This window comes from Homo sapiens, chromosome 7 (assembly GCF_000001405.40).
Source record: "Homo sapiens chromosome 7, GRCh38.p14 Primary Assembly".
Classification (NCBI taxonomy): domain Eukaryota; kingdom Metazoa; phylum Chordata; class Mammalia; order Primates; family Hominidae; genus Homo; species Homo sapiens.
The window spans coordinates 151,561,291-151,585,772 of record NC_000007.14 but is presented as its reverse complement, the minus strand read 5'-3'; the positions used below and the strand labels follow the sequence as shown (position 1 = coordinate 151,585,772).

Genomic DNA, 24,482 nt, shown 5'->3' with positions numbered 1-24,482 from the left:
CATTCTTGTGCCCCACGCTCTTCAGCTTTGGAACAATGACTTGAATATTGATTTCATTGATGGCATCATCTAATTTACAGATGACTTGAAACCAGGTGGGATAGCTGATAATAATCGAAACGCAGAAAGATTCCTCAGTAGGCAAAATTTATACATAGGATCACTTGATATGGCATCAAGGACAGAAGAGATGAGAGCATGTGAATATTCTAAAAAGATGAAAACGGGCTGAGAACAGGGAGGGAGAATGGCAAGCCCTGCCACACATGGGCTCGTGCTCGGGAATGTGCTGGAGCAGAGCAGACTAGTGGCTGAGAGTTTTTCAAAGCACATATTAACAATTTCTGTCAAGTGGTACCAAAAAAACTGACAATAAAGACATAGTCTCTTGCTCCTGTGCCTTACTCTTGTCATATTCCACAGAAACAACCTGTTGAGCCGTTGAACCAAACACACTGAGTCCATAAAACCTCCCAAGAAAAGATGCGTGGGAATGTATTACTTGAAATTTTATATATCACTTACGTTCAACCTGTAGACTGCTATGTCTAGAATTCTATAACAGAAATCATTTTTATTAAGAATTGTGAAGGTACTAATATCATTCCATTTCTTCTAGCTACCAGTGCTGATCGAGAGAAATTTGATGCTTTTTTAAAATCCCCAGCCTTTATATATGATTTTATTTTTCCCCTCTGAAGCTTTTGTGGCTCTCGCTTTCTACCTGGTACCCTAAAATTCCATCATCATGTGTCTTGTGGTCAGTTCATGGTGCCGGGCAGGTGACGTCCCGCTAGAACCTGACACTCCTAGTATCCAGTTCTCTGGTCCTTGCGTTGTTTCTTTTTTAGAATTTTTATTTATTTATTTATTTTAGAGATAGGGTTTCACTGTGTTACCCAGGCTGGAGTATGGTAGTGCAGTCACAGCCCACTGCAGCCCCCAGTTCCTGGGCTCAAGCGATCCTCCTGCCACAGCCTTCCAAGTAGCTGAGACTACAGGCGTGCACCACCACATTCAGTTAATTATTTTATTTTTTGTAGAGGCAGGGTTTTGCTATGTTGCCCAGCTGGGTCTTGAACCCCGAGGCTCAAGCGATCCTCAGCGCTGCGGCCTCCCGAAGCCACTGTGCCTAGCCTTCCTTGCATTCTTTCCTCAATCATTTTCTTCCCAGTGCTTGCTTTTCTCCGGAACTTCAGTGAGCAGCTCTGAGACCCCCGAGTTGATCTTTAATATTCTTTTCCCATTGTTTTTTCAATTTTTCTTTTCATTCCACTTTTTGGAAGATTTTTTTTTTCCTAACCCTTCTAGTGAGATCTGTGTAAAACTGGGACTTGTGTGACTTCAGCGTTCAAGGCCCTGTCAGATGGCTGCCCATTCATTCATAATTAAGAGTGACTGCTAACAGTTGGCATGGACATACCAAGTTCACAGGTGGGCTTCTTGCTTGGTGGGCTTCACTGAAGAGCAGTAAGCCAGCCATCTTTTTCATTGGAGGCCCCATGTTCCTATGTCTGTTTTATTTCTGGAGCAGTGCATTTCCTCCAGAAAACAGTCCTTCCATGGCAATGGTGGGCAACTGTTCTTCTGAAGTCGAAGGAGTACTGGGGCTTGGAGGGGCATGGAAGATGAGTTCAGGGAGGAGGGAGTCATGCAGCTGGCAAGGGAGGCCTGGGCCTGGACGGAGAAGAGTCTCGACGACCGTATTTCAGAAGCTGGACCCTTCTTGACGCAGTAGATATCAGCGTTAATTTTAAAAGCTTCACAGTCAACTTAATTACTGAAAATCAGAGTGAAGCTGTGTAGAAAGCAGTGAGGCATCAGAGGAACCAGCTTCCCATTCTGGGGAACACAGATGTTCTCCTTGGTATAGACTGCCAGAGTCTCTTAGAGCAGCTCGGGCCTGCTCACTATTCTAAAAACTTACCTATGAACATTTTATTTCCCATCTTTTCTTATCTAATTATCACATTTGCTTTGAAATGTGTTGAAAATCCTATTAAAATGTAAACTTTAAAATTAATCATAGTTTGAGCAAATTGCGTATCAGTTAAAAGGAAAGAAATTTTCAAAGGTACTCAAGATCCCTGAGCGGTTTCTTCCTGCAAATTAGAACTAGATTGTGTTAGTCCTCTTTGTATCCTGTTTATTGGTTAATTGGAACACCCTGTGCCGTCTATAATTATGGAGAATTTTCCAAGTATGATTTTAAATTGCTTTATAAACAGCTCCATGCACGTGTTCTTAAGAAAGCCAAGTTTTAGAAGGCCTCGTTATTGCAAAGAAGGTCGGCAAAACCACAGAAGCGTCAGGCCCCTCCCGAGCTCACCCAGGACACTGCTCTTTAATGCATTGTACGAGTATCATGTCCGTTTGGAATATTATATGAGATCTCTGAAGGATGGAATTGAGACTTCCTCAGTGACCTGCGGACAGGTCAACAGTGTATGTGGATGAAATTAAAAGAATAAATCTTTCATCCCAGCACTTTGGGAGGCTGAAGCAGGAGGATCACTTGAGGCCTAGAGTTTGAGACCAGCCCGGGCAACATGGCAAAACCCCATCTCTACAAAAAGATTTAAAAATTAGCTGAGCATGGTGGCATATGCCTGTGATCCCAGCTACTCAGGAGGCTGAGGCATAAGGATCACTTGAGCCTACGAGGTTGAGGCTGCAGTGAGCCGTGATCATACCACTATACTTGAGCCTGGGCAACAGAGTAAGACCCTGTCTCCAAAGTGAAAAAAAGAAGAAATTTCTGTTGGCTTCTGGTTTGGTCAGTATAGACTGGAAATTTTAAGCATTTGTTCTTCTTGGCTGTTAGTGCTGAGCACCATACTGAACATCTTCAAATACTAGCCTATTCAATCCACACCCTACACCTGTGAGGAAATATCCATTAGCCCCATTTTATAACAGCATGTTGAGGCTCACAGAGGGTTAAGTGACTGAGCAGCCACCACACAGCTGGCACGGGCCAAGGAGCCCGCGAGAAAGCCTTGGTGCTTGAGGCCATCAGAAAAACGAAGTGAGCTGCTGTGCTTATGATTTCAGTTTGAGAAATGAAGCAGTGTCCCTGTTCTGTAGAGATACACATTTTATGTGGAAAACGAGAAGTTGAAGTCCAGTAGGTGTAGCACCTTAGCTCGTTGACAAGAAGTGGGATGGCCTCTTAATTCACTCCACGTGCTTCCGTGAGCCTTGGTTGTTTTATCTTCTGTTGCAGAAGAGATACCACTTTGCACGTTAAATTCTTAACGTTCTCTTTGCCATTGAACTGCTGCTTCACTGGGGCTTTTCTCTCTATAAACCTTGCCATTGGGCTGGGGGAGGTGGCTTACCCCTGGAATCCCAGCACTTTGGGAGGCAGAGGCAGGAGGATCACTTGAGTTCAGGAGTTCAAACCAGCATGGGCAACATAACCGGACCCTGTCTCTACAAAAAATAACAAAATAAAAAGCTAGCTGTGGTGGTGTGCACCTGTGGTCCCAGCTACTCAGGAGGCTGAGGTGGGAGAATCACTTGAACCCAGGAGGTTGAGACTGCAGTGAGCCATGTTCCTGCCACTGCACTCCAGCCTGGGCAACAGAGCGAGACCCTGTCATTCATACGTACATACATACATCGATCCCTCTGTTGGACCGATACTGTCTGAAATTAATTAATTCCTCCCTCCATCCCTCCCTGCCATTGACCACGCAGCATCAGTGTCTTTCATCTCAGAATTAACTTGATTCAGCACGCGTGATCAGTTTCTAACGTCTGTATTATTACCCCGTATACTTTCCCATACATGTATTTGCCACCTTAAGAATTGGTGTTAGGCAGTTATTTCCTGTTTGTGTTGTTCACAGTGGCCTCACCGTAAACAGTATCTGCAGCATTTTGGGGGCTGAACGCTTTTGTAGCAGATTAGTCTGAGAATTTATTATGGGGAAGCAGGATGTTTTTTTCTGAGTCTGAAGTAATAATCATCATATTTGAGTGTTAAACTTAAACCCCTGCTTTTGTTGGTATCATTCTTTTAAGCCTGAGGTGTGATGAGGCTCACTGTAGTGTAAAAATGTCCATTAAATCTGTTGGATCTATATGTGATCATTTGTACAAGGTGTAAACATTAAATATCAAAATATCAAAATATTCACAAACTAAGCTAATAGCAATATTTATTCTTGGGTTTTTTTAAATTATTACACTATTTGACCAGAGATTTTTGTGTGTAGATGTCCACTGTGCTCAGTCATTTATGTCTTGAAGCTGGATACAATAGTCTCTGCCAGAAGCTTCTAGAAATGTGTCCACTGAAGGAAGCCCTCTTGTTTGGCTCTCACGTGGTCTCATCTATGGTTTAGATCCATTGGACTCATTGGCCCTTATTAGAGAAAGGCAGTCCTTGATAGGATCCTAGGACTTAGGTCATAGACAAGGTTCGTTTACTTTCTGTATTGACAATTGCAATTAAACCATGCAATAAATGCCTAGAATAGCATTTAATTACCGTTTAGTCCATTTTCATTTCATGCAGTTACTGCTATAGTTAGGTTTGTCTACCATTTTGCTATGCGTTTTTCACTTTTTCTATTGATTTGTTCTTTTATTCCTTCTTCACTCGATTTAACAAACTATGTTTAACCCATTTTTCTCCTCTGCTAGCTTTTTAGTTATACATTCTTTTTTCATTTTTATGGGTACATAGTATGTGTATATACTTATAGGGTGCATGAAATATTTTGATACAGGCATACATTGTATAATCACATCAGGATAAATGGGGTGTCCATAACCTCAAGCATTTATGATTTCTTTACATTACATACATCCCAATTATTGGTTATTTTTAAATGTACAATAAATTATTGTTGACTGTAGTCACCCTGCTGTGCCATCAAATACTAGACCGTATTCATTCTATCTAACTACATTTTTTTATCCATGAACTGCCCCTACTTCCTCCCCGCACCCACCCCCACTACCCTCCCTTCCCAGCCTCTGGTAACCATCATTCTACTCTCTATTTCCATGAGTTCAGTTGTTTTCATTTTTAGCTCCCACAAATGGATGAGAACATGTGAACTTAGTTATACATTCTTTTGTTGATCTTTCAGAGGCTGTCTTACAGATTACATAGCATCTTTGACTTACTACTTTCCATCTTTTAATAATAATTTTACCAAGTCCCAAACAATGCAAAAAATGTATACAAAAGTTAAACCGTCTCCTACCCTATGTGCTATTGTTATATATTTTGCTTCTATATAAGTTATGAATCCCACAGGATATCATTACTCTGGCTTTATGCAGTATTGATTTATGTTCACCTACATCTCTGCCCTCTCCTGTGCTCTTTGTTCCCTCCTACGGTTCTGTGCAGGTCTAGAATCTTTCCTTCAGTGCAGAGGACTCCTTAAGTATTTTTTATTTTTTTTGAGATGGAGTCTCACTCTGTCACCCAGGCTGGAGTACAGTGGCATGGTCTCAGCTCATTGCAACCTCCACCTCCTGGGTTCAAGTGATTCTCCTGCCTCAGCCTCCCAAGTAGCTGGGATCACAGGTGCGCACCACCACACCCGACTAATTTTTGTATTTTTGGTAGAGATGGGGTTTTTTCATCACGTTGGCCAGGCTGGTCTTGAACTCCTGACCTCAAGTGATCCCCCCACCTTGGCCTCCCAAAGTGCTGGGATTACAGGCATGAGCCAGTGCACCTGGCCTCCCTTAAGTATTTCTTAATGCTGGTTGGTTGGTGACAATTTTCTCTGCTTTTTTAATCCAAAAAACCTTACTTTGCCAATCCTTTTTGAAGGATATCTTCACTGGATATATGCTCTAACCTAGATTGGCAGGTTTTTTATTTTAGCATCTTAAAGTTTTCTTTCTCTTGTCTTCTGACTTTCATAGTTTCTGCTGGAAAGTCAGCCGTCAGCCTGCTTGTTACCCTTTTGAAAGCCAATGTGTCTTTTCCCCCTCTAGCTGATTTTCCCTTTACCTTTGGTTTTTAGCATCTTGTCTATGACGTGCTTAGGTGTGGTTTTCTTTGTGTTTATCTTACCTGGGATTTGTTTGATTCTTCTTGATAAATTTCAGCTTCTTGTTGAAATTGACCTATGTGCAGATGATGTGGGAAATGCCCTCAGAAAAATTCCAGAATGAATGTGATGCTCAATGCATAGCCTTCTTTTCTTTCAAGAATTGTAGCTCCCAGAATCCACCCCGTGTTGATGCACTCCAGGGCCCTCAAATAGTGTTTCCTGTCTTTTGTACAACTTGGATAGTTGTTTTCAACTGTTTCATTATGCCAAACTCAGAACTTTCTGGCATAGGTTTTCAATAGCTATGGCTACTTAGGGTTTCATGAATGATCCTCATGAATGTTTTTAACATTTATTTTCTCTGCTAAATCTGTCATTTTGAAGAAAACAGTAAGCAATTTGTGCTTTTAAAAGATGCCCCTGGCCAGGTGCAGTGGCTCATGCCTGTAATCCTAACACTTTGGGAGGCCAAGACAGGAGGATCACTTAAGCCCAGGAGTTTGAGACCAGTCTGGGCAACATAGCAAGATCCTGCCTCTACAAGAAAAAAAATTATCTGGACATGGTGGCATGTGCCTGTGGTCCCAGCTACTTGGAAGGCTGAGGTGGGAGAATCACTTGAGCCCGGCAGGGGCAGCGGGGAGGGGTGCAGTGAGGAAACAATGAGCCAAGGTACCACTATACTTCAGCCTGGGTGAAAAAGTGAGACCCTGTCTCCAAAAAAAATAAATAAATACAAATAAAACATAAAAGGTGCCCCCATTCCCATTCTATTCCAACCAGTTTAGAAAAGCAAACTTACCAGATATTCAGTGTGTTTTAAAATCTATTTACATGCGACTTTTCCACTATATTCTTCTATAATATATTCTAGGACCACAATCAGAGATGCCCAGGGTACAAATAGCAAACCATTCAAATGGGCACACCTTTCCTGGATGCCATTTAGTTACAAAAGCAGTGTATTTTGGTGCCTTTTTGATAAAGGTGTGTTTCAGAAACAGTTCATGAGTTTCTGGATGCTGCTCAGTTACTGTTGCTCTCCCACATCACTGGGTTGGCTCTACTCATTTCCTCATCGTCATTCTCTTGTAGTCATTTGACTAATGTCTAGAATCCCTGCTATATTCAGGACTCAGCGCTGGACGGGTTAAAATAAATGCGTGAAATAATTGATGAGCTCCCTCAACGCACCAGTAGTCCCTATATTCTTGTGTAGGTGAACTAGGTACATGCATGAGCAGTTCCACATAAGGCAAAATATATCACAATAAAGGAAGAAATAGGTACTAAGTTATTAGTCCTAAAGTCATCTGCTCTAGGTTCCTGCAGTTGTTTTCATTAGTAAGTTAACAAGGATTTTGTTTGTTTTGTTTGTTCATTTGTTTGTTTGCTTGTTTGAGACAGAGTCTCACTCTTCACTCAGGCTGGAGTACAGTGGCGTGTTCTCGGCTCACTACAGCCTCCACTTCCCAGGTTCAAGCGATTCTTGTGCCTCAGCCTCCTGAGTAGCTGGGATTACAGGTGTGCGCCACCATGCCCAGCTAATTTTTGTATTTTTAGTGGAGACGAGGTTTTACCATGTTAGCCAGGCTGGTCTCGAATTCCTGGCCTCAGGTGATCTGCCCATCTCGGGGGGCCTCCCAGAGTGCTAGGATTACAGGCGTGGGCCACTGTGCCCAGCCAACAAGGTTTTTTTTTGAGTAGTGAGTGAGAAGAGAATAATTTACTTTTAGTTAAAAAAAAAAAAACATAACCATACCATAATGTAACACTTTTTTTAAAGAAACATTTTACTATCCCAGCTTCTTAATGTATCAGTTTAATCTTTTTTTGCTTGTTTCTCATTGTTTCCATTTAAACACATATTTTTCTAAGTATCATAATGTATAATTTTACAGTTACATTTTTATTGTCATAGACCTTTCTTGATATAGTTATGAAAACATCATAATTATGTTAATTATTATTTGATTTTTTTTCTCATTGGTATGCTAGTATTTGATAAGTTTTGTTTGAGAGGTGGATTTTTTTTTCAGTTTTCAAGATTAGAAGTAATGTCACATGGAACATTGTTGATTCAGGAATCCCACTCCTAAAATAATTCAAAGAGAAAAAGCTGTTGCACAAGCAATATGAATACTTTGTGATTCTTGACACTAGCTGTGTTAGAAAAAATATTTTCTCAGTGTTTGGTGCCACCAGTGGTTTTATAATAGCCCTTGTATTAGGAGCTGCAACTTTAAAATATCGGCTTATTTAGCATCTACAAATGACACTTTGTTTTAATTTGCATTTCTTGGGTTATTAATAAGGTTGGACATTTTCCCTGTACTTATTTGCTGTCTGAATTTAGAGGATCATTTTCAGCACTGAACTTTTGGTTATTAATAAATCTTCAAGTATGATACCTTATGGTATCCCAAAAGATATTTGTTATGAGTGTTAAGTGAGATATGATATGTTAGTGCCTGACCCATTTGTGTCTGGAAGGTATAAAATGCAAAAATATATTGTATCTTTCATACCTTTTTTTTTCCTCAACCTTGGGAACTGAGAAAGTATGCTTGTTTTCTCATTGAAAATACTAAAAATAAATTTTTATTTCAGGTAATTTGATACAACTTCAGTGTTTTCAGATGAATTAATAACCACATGTAGGAGATATTAGACCCTGAAGTTTAATTCTTTTGTATGGTTTTAATTACATAAAGTATGTATGTAGACAAGAGTCTTCAGATACAATAAGAAAAAAAAAAGAAGTTAATTGCATTATTTCAATTTCAAAAAATAATTTCTAATCCCTGTATGCCTTTAGGTGTAATTCAAAAAGATTTTTGCTAATGTTAATAAATTCCATTATTTTTAGCTTATCAAACTTACGAAACTTATTATGGAAGATAACTGATAAGACTTGGTCAAATATGTTAAGGGTATTTTTCTGGCCAGGTGCGGTGGCTCACGCCTGTAATCCCAACACTTTGGGAGGCCGAGGTGGATGGATCACTTGAGGTCAGGAGTTCGAGACGAGCTTAGCCAACATGGTGAAACCCTGTTTCTACCAAAAATACAAAAATTAGCCGGGCATGGTGGCACATGCCTGTCATCCCAGCTACTCGGGAGGCTGAGGTGAGAGAATCAATTGAGCCCAGGAAGCAGAGGTTGCTGTGAGCCAAGATGGTGCCACTGCACTCCAGCCTGGGCAACAGAGTGAAACCTTGTCTCAAAAAAAAAAGGTATTTTTCTTCCTGGACTTTGAAAGTATGTTTTGTTTCTCCTCTTTTTCTTCAGGTTAAAAAGGCCTTCTTTGCTTTGGTAGCCAACGGTGTCCGAGCAGCGCCACTGTGGGAGAGTAAAAAACAAAGTTTTGTAGGTAAGCAGTGTGGGCCTGAGGAAAATCGAAAATGGAAACCTTGAAAGCAGAAAGCCTAAAGTATTTTAATAGATGCCGGTTTGGAATTCAACCTAGTAAACATGTTTCCAAGTTAAAGAACATTCTTGCTGGCAGGGTGCAGTGGCCCATGCCCGTAATCTCAGCACTTTGGGAGGCCAAGGCAGGGAGATCGCTTGAGCCCAGCAGTTCGAGGCCAGCCTGGGCAACATAGCAAGACCTCATCTCTACAAAAACATGCAAAAATTAGCTACTCAGGAGGCTGAGGTGGGAGGATCACTTGAGCCCAGGAGGTCAAGGCCATGATCGCTGCACTGTACTCCAGCCTGGGTGACAGAGCGAGACCCTGTCAAAAAAAAAAAAAAAATTCCTTGCTTTTACATACTGGGTAAGAAGGTGGACGTGCTAGTAAGGTCCAAACACTGTTGTCCTTTTTTTCTTTTTTTTTTTTTTTTTGCCGCCTCATTGAGAACTCTACACACTGTTGTAACTTTTATGGAGCTTTTGTTGTTGTTGTTGTTGAATTTCTTTTAATTTAGCAACTTTTTGGCTCTCTGAAGAGCTTATGTGTCTTTACCAGCCCAATGAACAAACCCCACGTAGGACACCACAGTCAGATGTGAGCCAGCTGCCCCACTTTGGGCCACACATGGCATATGGCATCCCTGGGCCCCGCACTCATCTCGCTAGTGCACACCTTTTTGACAGGGCAAATTAGATGCTGTAAACATGACTGATGTCTCTGCCAGACCATTGTTATACTGTTAAAACTGTTGTGTAACTTACAGCTATCTAAATGCCATCGTTACTTATCTTATGAATCACAGCAGACAATGCCATTGTCTCTCTTAGTATTCTTCACGTTATTTTGAAATGATCGTTATGTCTGCTTCTAGGTTTTAATTTCATCAGGGAAGAAGTTCATGTCTTTTTCATCCGTATCATCCTGGTGTCTAGCACGTCAAAAGCACTCAATAAATGGCAACTGTTAAAACCATTGTGTTTAGAATGCTTCTTGGGAAACAATCCAAGTGCCCAGAATTGTCACGTTTCTAAAGCTTACGGAATACTTTATCTTAAAGTACTTAAAATTATTTACCTGTAACTGCAATTCTTTTTTCAAATTTGTATCAATTAATGAGTTTTCTCTCATTGATTTGCCAAATTCTCTGGTTAGTTCCGTAGTACTTACTGTCAGGTTTAATTTCAGCTAAATTTGTATATCCAGTTTGGTATACACAATTAACACATCAATAGTTTTAAATAATATATTAAACTCTGCTTGATATCTTCGAAGTATATTTTATAAGCTCTTCTAGCATATATTCTAGGCTCACTTGTCATTTGAAATTTTTAAAAATGTTTTCATGGTTTTATTTGTAACATGTAATTCTTTGTTCCAGGAATGCTAACAATTACAGATTTCATAAATATACTACATAGATACTATAAATCACCTATGGTAAGTGGCACCAGTTCCTATGTCAGTAGTTGGAGCTGTACGTATCTATGTATGTGTGTAGGTATATGTGTGTATTTTAAGATTTTTAATGTTTTCAGTTTTTTCTTTTTTGGTATGGTGTGCTGATGGTGATTTTCCAAATCTATATAACATGCAGGGAACTTCAGTACAAAACTCTCTTTACTGTAAGTTATATGTATGAAACTCAAAGAAGGAATTCTCAGGAAAAATAAAAGGAAATAGATTCTTTATTCAGCTTTCGGAATTCCTTGGCTTAGCAGAATTCTACATATTTATTAGCTAGACGTTCTGTAAGTTTTGCTTATCTCTGCGGGCCTGTTGAGGTGGTAGAGCTTAATTCAGTTACCCCAGCAATTGCAGAACAAGAATTATATGTACTTTGTGATTTTAAAGCAGAAAAAAATGAGTCATTAAAGTGAAATAAATTCCGTTTTGACATGTTCCTGCTAATTAGGAAGAGACAGCTCCTGGCTGATTTTAGTAGCAGAACTCTCTGGTCCCTAGTACAATGGTTCTGGAAAGAGCGTAGCTTAAAAACCACTTTTGTCCTTCATCTAACTTTGTGATATCTGAGATTCAACCTGCTTGGTTTTGTGTTTTTAGTTTCTGTTTGTTTGTTCATGAGGGTGGGGGGAAGGACAGGATTGCATACTCTTATTTAACTAGTCCTATTTGGGGTACTTAAAAGGTGTAGGTTAATTCAATTAATACTGCTTTATGCGTAATGCTCAGTATTATCCAATAATTCTTACATCAAATACAAAAATGAGTTTCTTCATAAAACATGCTCTTGCCGGGCACAGTGGCTCACGCCTGTAATCCCAGCACTTTGGGAAGCCGAAGTAAGTGGATCACTTGAGGTCAGGAGTTGGAGACCAGCCTGGCCAACATAGTGAAACCCTGTCTCTACTAAAAATACAAAAATTAGCTGGGTGTGGCAGCGGGCATCTGTAATCCCAGCTACTCAGGAGGCTGAGGCACAAGAATCGCTTGAACCCAGGAGGCGGAGGTTGCAGTGAGCCGAGATCGCGCCATTGCACTCCAGCCTGGGCGACAGAGGGAGACTCTGTCTCCGAAAAACAAACACAACCATACTCTTAGGAAGTTTTACCAAAGATTTTGTAAATATCCTGTATTTATTTCCCATGAAGTGTATTATTTCTTCAATATTACCAATGCAAGTGAACACGGGCTTTCCTTATAGTGGTCATATCTCTGCTTTTGAACTAGCAAAATCAGCATGAGTGTGATTTTTGAATAGATAGATTTCTGTGAAATGCAGCAAATCCCATATAAGAAATCTTAGCAGTAGAATATGAAATCAAAATTGCAAAAAAGCAGTTATGTCTAAATATGCAGCCCAAAGTTTTTCTTAATATCTGTAGATACAGGCCAGGCACAGTGGCTCACGCCTGTAGTCCCAGCACTTTGGGAAGCTGAGAAGGGTGGATCACTTGAGCCCAGGAGTTTGAGACCAGTGGGGCAACATGGTGAAACCCCATCTCTACAAAAAAAAAAAAAAAAAAAAAAAAAAAACCCACAAAAATTAGCCAGGCATGGTGGTGTACATCTGTAGTCCAAGTTACTCAGAGGCTGAGTTGAGAGGATTACTTAAGCCTGGGAGGTTGAGGCTGCAGTGAGTCATGATCGCACTTGTGCACTCCAGCCCGGATGACAGAATGAGACCTTGTCTCAAAAAAAAAAAAAAACTTGAGATACATTTTTTTCTCTATATCTCACCTCACTTTCTTTTTTTTGAGACAGAGTCTCACTCTGTTGCCCAGGCTGGAATGCAGTGGTACCATCTCGGCTCACTGCAACCTCTGCTTCCTGGGTTCAAGCAATTCTCCTGCCTCAGCCTCCTGAGTAGCTGGGACTACAGGCACCCACCAATATGCCTGGCTAATTTTTGTATTTTTAGTACAGATGAGGTCTCACCATGTTGGCCAGGCTGGTCTCAAACTCCTGACCTCAGGTGATCTGCCCACCTTGATCTCCCAAAGTGCTGAGATTACAGGCATGAGCAACCGCACCTGGCCGCCTCATTTTCTAATTGCGAATAGAAAATGCTATTATCCAAGCTATGTTTTGTTTCATTTTCCAAATATTTTTTCTATGTTGTATATGTATATTTATAAATAAGAATTTTTTTATTTGCAGGTACAGATTTATGAATTAGAGGAACATAAAATTGAAACATGGAGGGGTAAGCACTATTGGATGTTTAAAATCTTTTAGTATCGGGAAAGCTATGTTTAGTATGAAAAGTATGTTTTCATTTTGCAGATCCTTTTCTCTCTGCTCCATAAAATGTTATATAAAACATTCTCTTTATTTCTGTTAATTTTGATAGTATGCTACTGTACTAAAGCTGAACAATATAAGTATTGTCCCTTCTGTTTATAGACATGTATAGGACACCTTCAGCAGGCAAGGCCTTATCCTAGGGCCAGGAATGTGAAGATGAATGAGCTAACCAAGCCCCACCTCGCTGCCCACAATGGGGCCACCGCTCACTACTAAGTCTAAGCCCTCAGAGATTTGCCTTGGTATTAAGAAATGCATCAGAGGCATGCCTAACTTGAACCAAAGCAAGCATCTGTTCTTATTTAAACCTAGTAATTGTTTCTTTACAAATTGTGGAGAAACTTAGGACAAATGAACCTCAAACTAGATGGTTTGGAGCAAATAGCATGGAAGTAATTTGAAGACCATATTCTCTTCATTGTCACATTGACATTCACCCTGTAAAATCATGATACTCTTTTCTGCCATAGAACCATTTCTTAAATTCGCATTTCATGATTGTAAGGTGGTGGTCTCACTGACACTTGTCATGGTGGGTTGGTGGAGAGGACCGGGGGTGGGAATCACGGCAGACCCAGTCTGTCTGCAACAGCGGAGCCTTTGGAGGGTGCTCAAGGAAACACTGGTAGAAATGGAGGGACCAACTGAAGGAAAATTTTGAATTCAAAATTGAAGAGTTTGGTTCTGTGTTTCCCATAATATGCTTGATAGGAGAAGCAACCTTTGTAGCTGGCTGTGAAATCAGAATACATCTTGGAGTTCTCTTACACCCCCAGGGGCCCTTTCAAATCCATACGATTTAGAAGTTTCACTGAGTGATGGGTTTGGTTTATTACGGCTTTGTCAAACCAAGCTAAACAAATTTGGCATGGGATCTGTACAGTCTGTTGTGCAGTGATTGTGTAACACCAGCTTCTTGTCCAGTTCTACTGTACAAGTACTGATAGACCAAGGTTTAAGTATGTTTACGTTTTGACATTACATGATATTTTGTAGTAATAATAATGCCAAAATATTCTTAAACGCCTTCTGTATAGAAACTTTGGTAAAGCAAGGCCAGGTGCGGTGGCTCACACCTGTAATCCCAGCACTTTGGGAGGCCAAAGCAGGTGGATCACTTGAGATCAGGAGTTCAAGACCAGCCTGACCAACATGGTGAAACCCTCTCTCTACTAAAAATACAAAATTAGAGCCAGGCGCAGTAGCTCACGCCTATAATCCCAGCACTTTGGGAAGCCGAGGCGGGTGGATCACCTGAGGTCAGGAGTTCGAGACCAGCCTAGCCAACATGGTGAAACCCTGTCTCTACTAAAAATACAAAAAAGTAGCCAGGCGTGGTGGTGCGCACCTGTACTCCCAGCTACTCGGGAGGCTGAGGCAGGAGACTCGCCTGGGCCTGGGAGGCAGAGGTTGCAGTGAGCCAAGATGATGCTGCTGTACTCCAGCCTGGGCAACAGAGCAAAACTCCTTCTCAAAAAAAAAAAAAAAATTAGGCTGGGCACAGGACCTCATGCCTGTAATCCCAGCACTTTGGGAGGCTGAAGTAGGTGGATCACTTGAGGTCAGGAGTGCGAGACCAGCCTGGCCAACATCATGAAACCCCATCTCTACTAAAAATACAAAAAAAATTAGCAGGGTGTGGTGACGTGCACCTTTAGTCCCAGCTATTTGGGAGGCTGAGGTGGGAGAATTGCTTGTACCTGGGAGGCAGAGATTGCAGTGAACCCAGATCATGCCACTGCACTCCAGCCTGAGTGACAGAGTGAGACTGTCTCAGAAAAAAAAAGAAACCTTGGAAAAGCAAATTAATTGCAGTTGATATCTTCAGAAAAAAACAGTTTTTATGTGCTGGAAAGATGCCCACAATGCAGTAGGTTTTGAGCATCAATTTGGTAAAATAATACTTAAAAATATTTAAAGAACAAAGTTTGTCATAACTGATTTTATCTTATAACTTATGGAAATTGATTTTTTAAATTTCATAATTGCTTCATTTCTTGAGAGTAAGGTGAACCTGGTAGCATTCTAGTGACCTCTGCTGGTATTGCTCTTTTATCAGATTTCTTTGTTTTTCCTGATTTTATAAACACTTACTGTCACATTGTTTTTTAATATTTAATTTTTCTTCAAATGCAACATCCTGAAAACAGTTTGGAAGTTGTTTAAAATAGCCATAACTATGATTAACACAGGAGTTTTAGGCAAATTAAATTTCTTTTTATTTGAGTTTTTAATCCTTCTAACTATTAACCGTAAACTGAAGGGTATTTGAATTTGTGTTATAACTGCAAACAGCAAATGTGTTACTAACTGCATATTTTCTTTCTATAAATACAGAGCTTTATTTACAAGAAACATTTAAGCCTTTAGTGAATATATCTCCAGATGCAAGGTAAACTTGTTTTTTTTTTCTTTGAAAACATTCATTCAGATGTATGTGTTTTATCACCATGATAGAAAGAAAGACACAAATAAACATGTTCTTCATTCCAAACAGGGCCTGCCTCCTTAATTCCAGCTACACTGTACGCATTCAGTAAATCTAGGAACACTACAAAAATCACAGCCGTTGCTGGTGCTAAGGATGGATAATGGTCTAGTAATAGGGTCATACTAAACCATCACGAAGATCTCGGCCAATCTGGGGGGCGTGTTGAAATTGCAGATTCCTGGGCTTTTACCCCTGACCTGCTAAATCAGGATAGGGCCCAGGAATACACATTTAAACAACTCCCTTGGCAATTCTGCTCCACACTAGCGTTTAAACATCAGTGTGTGTTAGATGTCGGTTCAGATGTGGTGAGAGCATGGGCTGCCTTCTGTGTAGTCGTCTGGCCCGTCCTTTTTTATCCAAGCCTTCTGGTTTGGCTGTGATACATTTCCATATTGGTGTAAAAGCATCTTTCAAACTCAAATCCAGTACAGAGAAAGATTAAAATATTTATTTTCATTTTATTTCCAAGTCCTAACAAAAAGGTATAACAACCTTCTTACTGGCAGTCCCAGGAGAGGGACCAAGTAGAACAGAAATGTTGGCCCTGCAATATCTCCTAGCCGGGCCGGCCCGGGGTAGAGCCAGTTTGCCCACTCACCAATGCAGAGAGCTTGCTGCTACAGCCTTTGCTCTCTTGCCAATACGATGTATCTGTTTGCTTTTCTAAGGATTTAGGTTTCATCGTCTTTCAAATAAAATCACTAAATACACTCTTTAAAAAAACTCCTCTTCCTGGCTGGGCGCAAGGGCTCATGCCCGTAATCCCAGCACTATGGGAGGCCATGGTGGGTGGATCGCTTAAGCTCAGGAGTTCGAGAGCAGCCTGGGCAACGTGGCAAAACCCCATGTCTACAAAAAAGAAAGGTGGCGCATGCCTGTAGTCCCAGCTACTCAAATAGGCTGAGGTGGGAGGATCACCTGAGCCCGGGAGGTCAAGGCTGCAGTGAGCCATGACGGCAGGCAACAGAGCAAGACCCTGTCTCAAAAAAACAAACCAAAAAAAATCTCCTCTTCTAGAGATTTGTAGCTTGCACTTGTATTTGAGATATGTTAACATAGATTGTGAAAAATGAAAAATTTGCTGAGATCTCTAATTTAAAACTCTTCCAAAACACTGTTATTATTGCAATAATAAAAACACTGGAAGTGCTTTAAGGCAGGGGTAGTCCAAAGTGTTCTGATTTTTCTCGAAAGCCTCCTAACAACTTTAATGACTTCTCCCACAGCCTCTTCGATGCTGTATACTCCTTGATCAAAAATAAAATCCACAGATTGCCCGTTATTGACCCTATCAGTGGGAATGCACTTTATATACTTACCCACAAAAGAATCCTCAAGTTCCTCCAGCTTTTTGTAAGTAGTTTTTAGCGTTTCTAAAGACATAATTGCATTTACTTATTAAATAATGTACTTCAAGTAAATTGGCTCCTGTTACCCTCAGTAGAAGAAATTGTTAGTTTTGAGGTCTCCCTTTCTAAACTTCAGTTTCTCAACTTACTACTCTCTGAATTGTACATTCTTAAAGTTGATTCCAATTTAAAAGAATCACCTTTTAGTGCAAGTATCAAAACAATTTTAACAACAAAACTCGGCATTCTCTCTTTAAATTAAAACATTTGTCACCAGCATATGAGGGGAAATAAGGCAATCTGCAAGTCTAATTGAGGACTGTTGTACAAGATAAACTGAACTAATATCTAGAGCAAAAATTGCTTTATGTTGCTTTTACTGGTGTCATGGTTTTAGAAACATGTTCCAAAAAATGCTTTCCTCAAGATTATCTTATAAACTGCAGCAGTGATAGAAAAACCCGAAGCAAATAAAATTTTGGCAAGAGAATACCATGTTGGTCCAAATAAGGCCTGTATTAACCTGTAGGTTTTCTCAGCTACTTGAAATGACCTGGCTCCGTAGTCATCCAGAACTTTGAGCCTGTTTGGTTGGAAACATTAAAAGAGACTCAGGAAGAACAGAGAGTTTATAAGAGGCTTTTTATGTTTGTCTTTTAATTACATGCATGGAATTTGAGGTTGTAAGTAATCAGTCAAATAGAACCAGTAGAAGGTCTTAATCGTTCTGAAGAGGTACTTTGAAGAGTTGTTTTTCCAAGACTGTAACAGATATTAAAAATGTACTTCAAATTAGCTTTCCCATTTTCCTCCCCATGGCTTCACCTAAGGACCTAACATAGCGTTCCGGTGCAGTGTGAAGGAGCTGAAGCTCCTGCCCTGGAGGCAGCTTGAGGGACCCCTTTTGCTGACAGAAGCACAGAGGGCTTAGTGATGGAGAGAAATACCTTGTCAATCAACCCAGTCTTGTATTTTAATCATTTACATATATAAATAACATTTATTTAACCATGCTGTGCTAAGAAAGAAGGTAGGGAAGAGTAATTTACAAAAAAACTCAAGTCTGAAGTTTAATAAAGGCGATAATCTAGGAAAAAGGGATTAGGGATGCATCCGCATTGTTTATCAGACTGGACATCTGGGAATGCAGCCGCTTTAGTAGTTGAAGTTTAATAGGAACAGAGGGAGCATGGGGTGGGAAGGATGTATTCAGGGCCCCCACGTGCCAGGCCTGCAGCTCACTTAATCCTTAGAGTCATCATTTTTAAATAATATTAATCATGAGAGCTGATTACTGTATGTCCGGCACTGTTCTAAGCACTTGACATAATCTCATCCTCGCTGCTACCCTATCAGGTAGGTATTTTTATTAATCCTATTTTATAGGGATGCAGCTAAGAAAGGTTAAGTAGCTTTGCCAAGGTTGCGTGGCTGGGAAGCGGTAGAGCCAGGATCCCTTTCAAGCGTTCCTCACTCCCCATGCTTTTCTCCACGCAGGGGCCTTGGGAGGGAGGCGTTTGCATACCTTGCATACACAGGACACCTGGCTGGGAAACGTGCCCCCAGTCATGTGGATACTAAGTGGTAGATTGCAAACCCGGGAGTCTCTCTGACTCCCAAGCCCAAACTATTTCTGCTAGTGTGCTGTTGCACAAGAGGGAGTAAAAGCGTGAGATCATTCTTTTGCAGAGCTGCTTCAGATTTTTATCTTCTATAAAAAGGAGAGGAAGTTGCCTCTGCCCAGTACTGCCTCATATTTGGGCCAATATGGTAATTAGAATCATGCTACCAGAATATTCAGCTAACTAAAGGTTTTCAGTTAAAAATATAGAACTTAAAGACATTTCAGAGCCTGATTTTTACTGAATTATGAGATCATTTTCTGAGAAAAAAGGAGCATTACCCTTCAAGACGTTTGAAAATTAGCCTAAGCCTATAGTGTGCAACAGGGAATTCGCTATGTTGAGATGGACTAGATGACCTAATAGGGCTTTCTTTTTTTTTTTCTCTAAATTTCTAGGAGTCTCATGATTTGAATATTGATGAACTCTTTGACTTGAACATTTTGTTTCTTCTAATTGTTCATCTTTTCCTGATAATTATAAGGTACACCAGGAGGATGGAATCAACTATACCCTTTATAAAAGGTGGATTTTTGAAACCGTAGACCTTATTTTGTTATACTCAAACATGATCCTAGACTTTTCTCTCCTGCCATATCCCTCCTCCTTTAAAACAGCCCATGAAAAGTTAATTTTTAAAGATTCTTTTAATTCTGTTCAGCTGGCTTCTTTGTTCCTAGTAGACAAAAATTGGAGCTCTCCAAGGAGAATTCAGGATGTAGAGGCGGGTGGCGTGAGGACTAGCTTAGCAGTGGCTCAGACAGCTGCCGTCAAATGCTTTGGGTTTGGAAATGTATAGGTTCTTAATAAATATTACTTAATCCTGACAGCAGGACCAGGAATTTAACATGAACAATTAAGAATAAAGGATTCAATTCTTCGTGGCTTACAGGTCTTAATATCCCAAATAGACCTGTTCTTCCCTGGTTCTATACGCGTTCTTAGTGAGTGAAGAGGAGATGGAAAAAGATTACAGTATCAATGCTCTGCAATAGTTTGTGAATAGTTAAATAGAAGCATAGACCTACAAACTGGTTCAAACAAAAGATACAGTCCTTTGTAATTTTCTCATGTTAATTCAGGCATCCAGGTAGACTGTTAGAAAAAACTAACTTTAATTTGTTGGACATACTTTTTCATTCAAATCTGGACCTTTGAACATGACAAGAGTGTGTTCTGGGTCTAGAACGTTTGCGTTTATCTTCCGTTTAGATGTCTGATATGCCAAAGCCTGCCTTCATGAAGCAGAACCTGGATGAGCTTGGAATAGGAACGTACCACAACATTGCCTTCATACATCCAGACACTCCCATCATCAAAGCCTTGAACATATTTGTGGAAAGACGAATATCAGCTCTGCCTGTTGTGGATGAGTCAGGTTTGTGTGTTTGGCGCTGACAGGCAGAAATAATTGTTTATCTCAGGGTGCAATTATTGTAAGATGACCTGGCACAGGAGATACGTGGGGAAAATGAAAACTTGGGTATGGTGAATAAATTCAGCACCAAGGGGCACGCAGGATCGTAAAAAAAGTTTAATTGGTTTATTTTCATATGTCCATTAAAATATGATTTCATATCTAAGTTTTCATTTAAAATAGACAAGGTTATTTATCAGTGTTTAACTTTTAGTAATTATGTCATTAAAACTGATTTTAAATGAATTTCTTTTTGTCCCTTAAGACATTTTTCTAACATATATTTTTCATTTTTAGGAAAAGTTGTAGATATTTATTCCAAATTTGATGTAATTGTAAGTATTTTAATTTTGTTCAATCTGTCACCTAGAATGCATTTTAAACATTCATGTAATGTGTTTTTATGTTTTTATCTTGTTTCTTAATTTAATAATTTCTAACCTTTTGGGGTGTGAGGATATTATCAGAATTTTATAGACCTTCTATAGTAATTGTACTTTTAATCTGCATTGGTTTAGCAACCAATTATATATTAGTAGCATTTTATAATTTTTCATCTTTACAATACATGCATATTTTATGCACTGCCACAGCATGTGTATATATTTTAAATGTTCTTGTTTCCACGTAGGAGGCCTGATTTATTCGCCTCTAGACGCGTGCGCAGTGCACACGTGGACTCATGGCTCCTTTGTCGGGCGCATCCCATTGCTTAGTGATTGGGAGCCACTGTTCTAAAGAAGAAAAGGGGACTGACACTTTATAGCCCCAAATGTGCACGCCATTTTTTGCCACAATACTGACCCCACATTAAACATTCTTCTGCAGCTGCCTCAAACCCTTTGCTTCACACTATTATGTTAAACATAACAGTCACCGAGAAATATGCTGATCGGCATTTTGGTTGAGTGGGACCCGCTAAAATGAATGAGAGCCCCATGAAGCCATTTGGATCCATGGGGCTCCTCAAGCCTGTTCTTCCTCTGGTTGCTTGATCCCCATGGGTCCCCCAAAGCCTTCCCAGCAGAAACCTTGTTCCCCAGGGAGCTTGTTGAGAAGGTCCGTTGCTGCAGCATTTCTAGCCCTGTGGCACTCACCACCCTTTACAGATGTCAGCCCACCTTGCCAGAGATTTCATCCATGCATGGTAGAGAGCATTAGAGGGTAAAAATTGGGGGGCAGTCTTTGGCAGGATATACTGTCAAAGTTTAACAATGTTGCTTCGTAAGGAAGGTAGACCTTGTAACATGGTTATCTTTAATTGTGATTGATATGTTGACAAAATAACAGTAGCAATGGCATGTCGTAAGCCAGAAAGAACGTCTGATGTATGCAGGTACTAAATTCAGATAAGCATTAAAGTTTTTAGAAATCAGGCTCTCTTAAGCTCACTAATTTTGGTCATTGAAGTGAACTGAAATGAAAGGATATAATTTATTCTCTTGCTTCATTACAGAATCTTGCTGCTGAGAAAACATACAATAACCTAGATATCACGGTGACCCAGGCCCTTCAGCACCGTTCACAGTATTTTGAAGGTGTTGTGAAGTGCAATAAGCTGGAAATACTGGAGACCATCGTGGACAGAATAGTAAGAGCTGAGGTGAGACGGCTTTCCCAGTCCTGCTCCCCCGACGTCCACTGCAACAAGTCCCCAGTAGTGAATGATGCCTCTGGAAGCCTGAATCTCAGGAAGGGCCCAGCGAGGCAGCCTCCAGGTTCAGTCGATGGGATTCCCTCCTGTCCCAGAACCTGGCACACTACTTGGCATATAGGCGATCTCTAAAAGTTTGTTGAATTGAATTGAATGGAAAAGTCCTGGTATCATAGGTGAATCCAATAAACTGGTAAGATACATTCATAGTTTAAACTATATATGTTTGACAGTGTGGACGACATAATAAGACCTTGTCTCTACTAAAAATAAAAATAAATTAGCTGGGCATGGTGGCTTGGACCTGTAGTCATAGCTAATAGGGAAGCTGAGGAAGGAGGATCCCTTGAATCCAAGAGCTTGATATTTCAGTGAGCTGTGGCGGTGCCACTGCACTCCAGTCTCGACAGCAGAGCAAGACCCTGTCTCTAAATAGATCGATGTATCTGTATCTATGGATACATTTTGTTTTGAGAAAACAAAAATCCCAGAAGCTTTAAGTTCCATTTGAATATTTATGAATTCAAAATTTAAAGTGCGTAATATATATTTTAACAAAGTGAATGATAAGTCAGTAAAACTTTTTTCTCTCTTCCCACCAGTATCTCTCTTTCCTCAATTAGATAAATAGCAAATAATCTAGTAACTCCCAGTTTCCTGCACCTCAGCAGTCCAATTTCCTTAGACTTTACTGCTTATAAGATTTTCAAATGTACTTTGTGTAACACCCTAAATAAAAGACTCCGCCTAAAAAGAAAATTCCTTCACAAGATGACTCCTCACAGAAGGACCAAAAAAATAACAGTTTTTAGCTTTAATGTAGCTAGGAGAAGGGTGTACAGTATCAGTGATGATTCCATTTGTTTATATGACATAAATAGAACACTAACTTTTAGGTACCTCCAACAAAGGACATACATAAGTTTGACTCAGCAGCAGATGACAAGAAAATACGTGGGGAGTCATTTCAGTCTGAGAGAACTGCTTAATTCTCTGGATGAGATGGTTTCCCTTAGCCTTCAGAGTTCAAAAGATATCTGTTTAATATCCACTATTTTTTTTTTTTTTTTTTGAGACGGAGTCTTGCTCTGTCGCCGAGGCTGGAGTGCAGTGGCGTGATCTCGGCTCACTGCAAGCTCCGCCTCCCAGGTTCAAGCGATTCTCCTGCCTCAGCCTCCCGAGTAGCTGGGACTACAGGCGCCCGCCTAATTTTTTGTATTTTTAGTAGAGACGGGGTTTCACCTTGTCAGCCAGGATGGTCTCGATCTCCTGACCTCGTGATCTGCCCGCCTCGGCCTCCCAAAGTGCTGGGATTACAGGCATGAGCCACCGCACCCGGCTAATATCCACTATTGAATGTAACCAATAAAATGTCTTCAGTGTAGAAGACAAATGTGAACTATCATTTTAATGTGTGATTATAGTTAGCAAATAATTGTGCTGTGTTATATCACAGGATTACTGATGAACCTGAAAGCTTTTTTAGAGAAACATTTAAAAGAAATTTATGTTGACTGCCACGGGAAAGATGACCAAGCCATTATTATTATTATTATTATTAACCTAAAGCAACCTATGACAGAAACATCACCCAAACAGTATTATTTGAGACAAAATACAAAAACTGGATTTCCCCCTCTTCCTATCTCCTTCCTATGTCCCTGTTTTCTATCAGGGGTATCACTGTTCAATACAGAGAGGGTCTCCCAGGGCGCAGCCGGCACAGAGCTGCCGTGGCCCAGGTTCTGAAGCCTTTTTTTTTTTTTTTTTTTTTTTTTTTTTGAGACAAAGTCTCACTCTGTCGCCCAGGCTGGAGTGCAGTGGCGCAATCTCAGCTCACTACAACCTCCGCCTCCCAGGTTCAAGCGATTCTCCTGCTTCAGCCTCCTGAGTAGCTGGGATTACAGGAATGCACCACCACGCCCAGCTAATTTTTGTGGTTTTGGTAGAGACGGGGTTTCACCATGTTGGTCAGGCTGGTCTCGAGCACTTGATCTTGTGATCCGCCCACCTCAGCCTCCCAAAGTGCTGGGATTACAGGCGTGAGCCACCGCACCCGGCTCCAGGTTCCAAAGCCTTTTTTTTTTTTTTTTTAAGACACAGTCTCGCTCTGTCGCCCAGGCTGGAGTGCAGTGGCACGATCTCAGCTCACTGCAACCTCCACCTCCCAGGTTCAAGCAATTCTCCTGTCTCAGCCTCCTGAGTAGCTGGGACTACAGGTGCCCACCAGCACTTCTGGCTAATTTTTGTATTTTTAGTAGAGACAGGGTTTCACCATATTGGTCAGGCTGGTCTTGAACTCCTGACCTCAGGTGATCCGCCCGCCTCGGCCTCCCAAAGTGCTGGGATTACAGGCGTGAGCCATCGCGCCCGGCCATCATGAAGCTTTTAAGAGAATAGCAACGCCGCTCCCTTCCTGCGGGTGAAAGGCCTGTTACAGAAACACCTCAAAACGCTCTGCCGTCACTCATCAGAGATTTCAGAGTAGAAAACTAGAGATGGACGTAGTCTATCCCACTTCATTATAGCTCATTTATCCTCTTGGATGCGATTCTTAATATATGAACTTCACAGAGAAAAGACACTGCAGAAAATAAAACCCTTGTAAGAGCTGCGACCTTGTTTCTTCGTTTCTGTCATCATCTGGACTTCTCTCCCATGTATTAATAAGACAAGTACCTGATAGTTATTAGAAACTGATATACAACTTTTAGAAATTAAAACAGTTATGTTTAA

General features: G+C 40.6%; 1 protein-coding gene across 33 annotated transcripts in view, besides 1 other annotated feature; it reads left to right on the top strand.

Moving 5' to 3' along the window:
* PRKAG2 (protein kinase AMP-activated non-catalytic subunit gamma 2) overlaps positions 1-24,482 on the top strand; it is a 320,989-nt gene that overhangs the window by 291,343 nt on the left and 5,164 nt on the right. For all 33 annotated transcript variants that reach the window (NM_001407031.1, NM_001407030.1, NM_001407023.1 and 30 more), the window contains 8 exons: positions 9,321-9,402; positions 10,824-10,882; positions 13,064-13,109; positions 15,548-15,602; positions 16,931-17,057; positions 19,888-20,053; positions 20,390-20,427; positions 21,549-21,695. In NM_001407031.1, coding sequence (NP_001393960.1) covers positions 9,321-9,402; positions 10,824-10,882; positions 13,064-13,109; positions 15,548-15,602; positions 16,931-17,057; positions 19,888-20,053; positions 20,390-20,427; positions 21,549-21,695 — 720 coding nt within the window. The remainder of the gene's footprint in view (positions 1-9,320; positions 9,403-10,823; positions 10,883-13,063; positions 13,110-15,547; positions 15,603-16,930; positions 17,058-19,887; positions 20,054-20,389; positions 20,428-21,548; positions 21,696-24,482) is intronic.
* Positions 5,894-6,094: a silencer, noted in NCBI's record as "peak6847 fragment used in MPRA reporter construct". NCBI's record gives its function as "represses an SCP1 promoter by STARR-seq MPRAs in K562 erythroleukemia cells {active_cell/tissue: K562}" and the evidence as "EXISTENCE:reporter gene assay evidence [ECO:0000049][PMID:32103011]".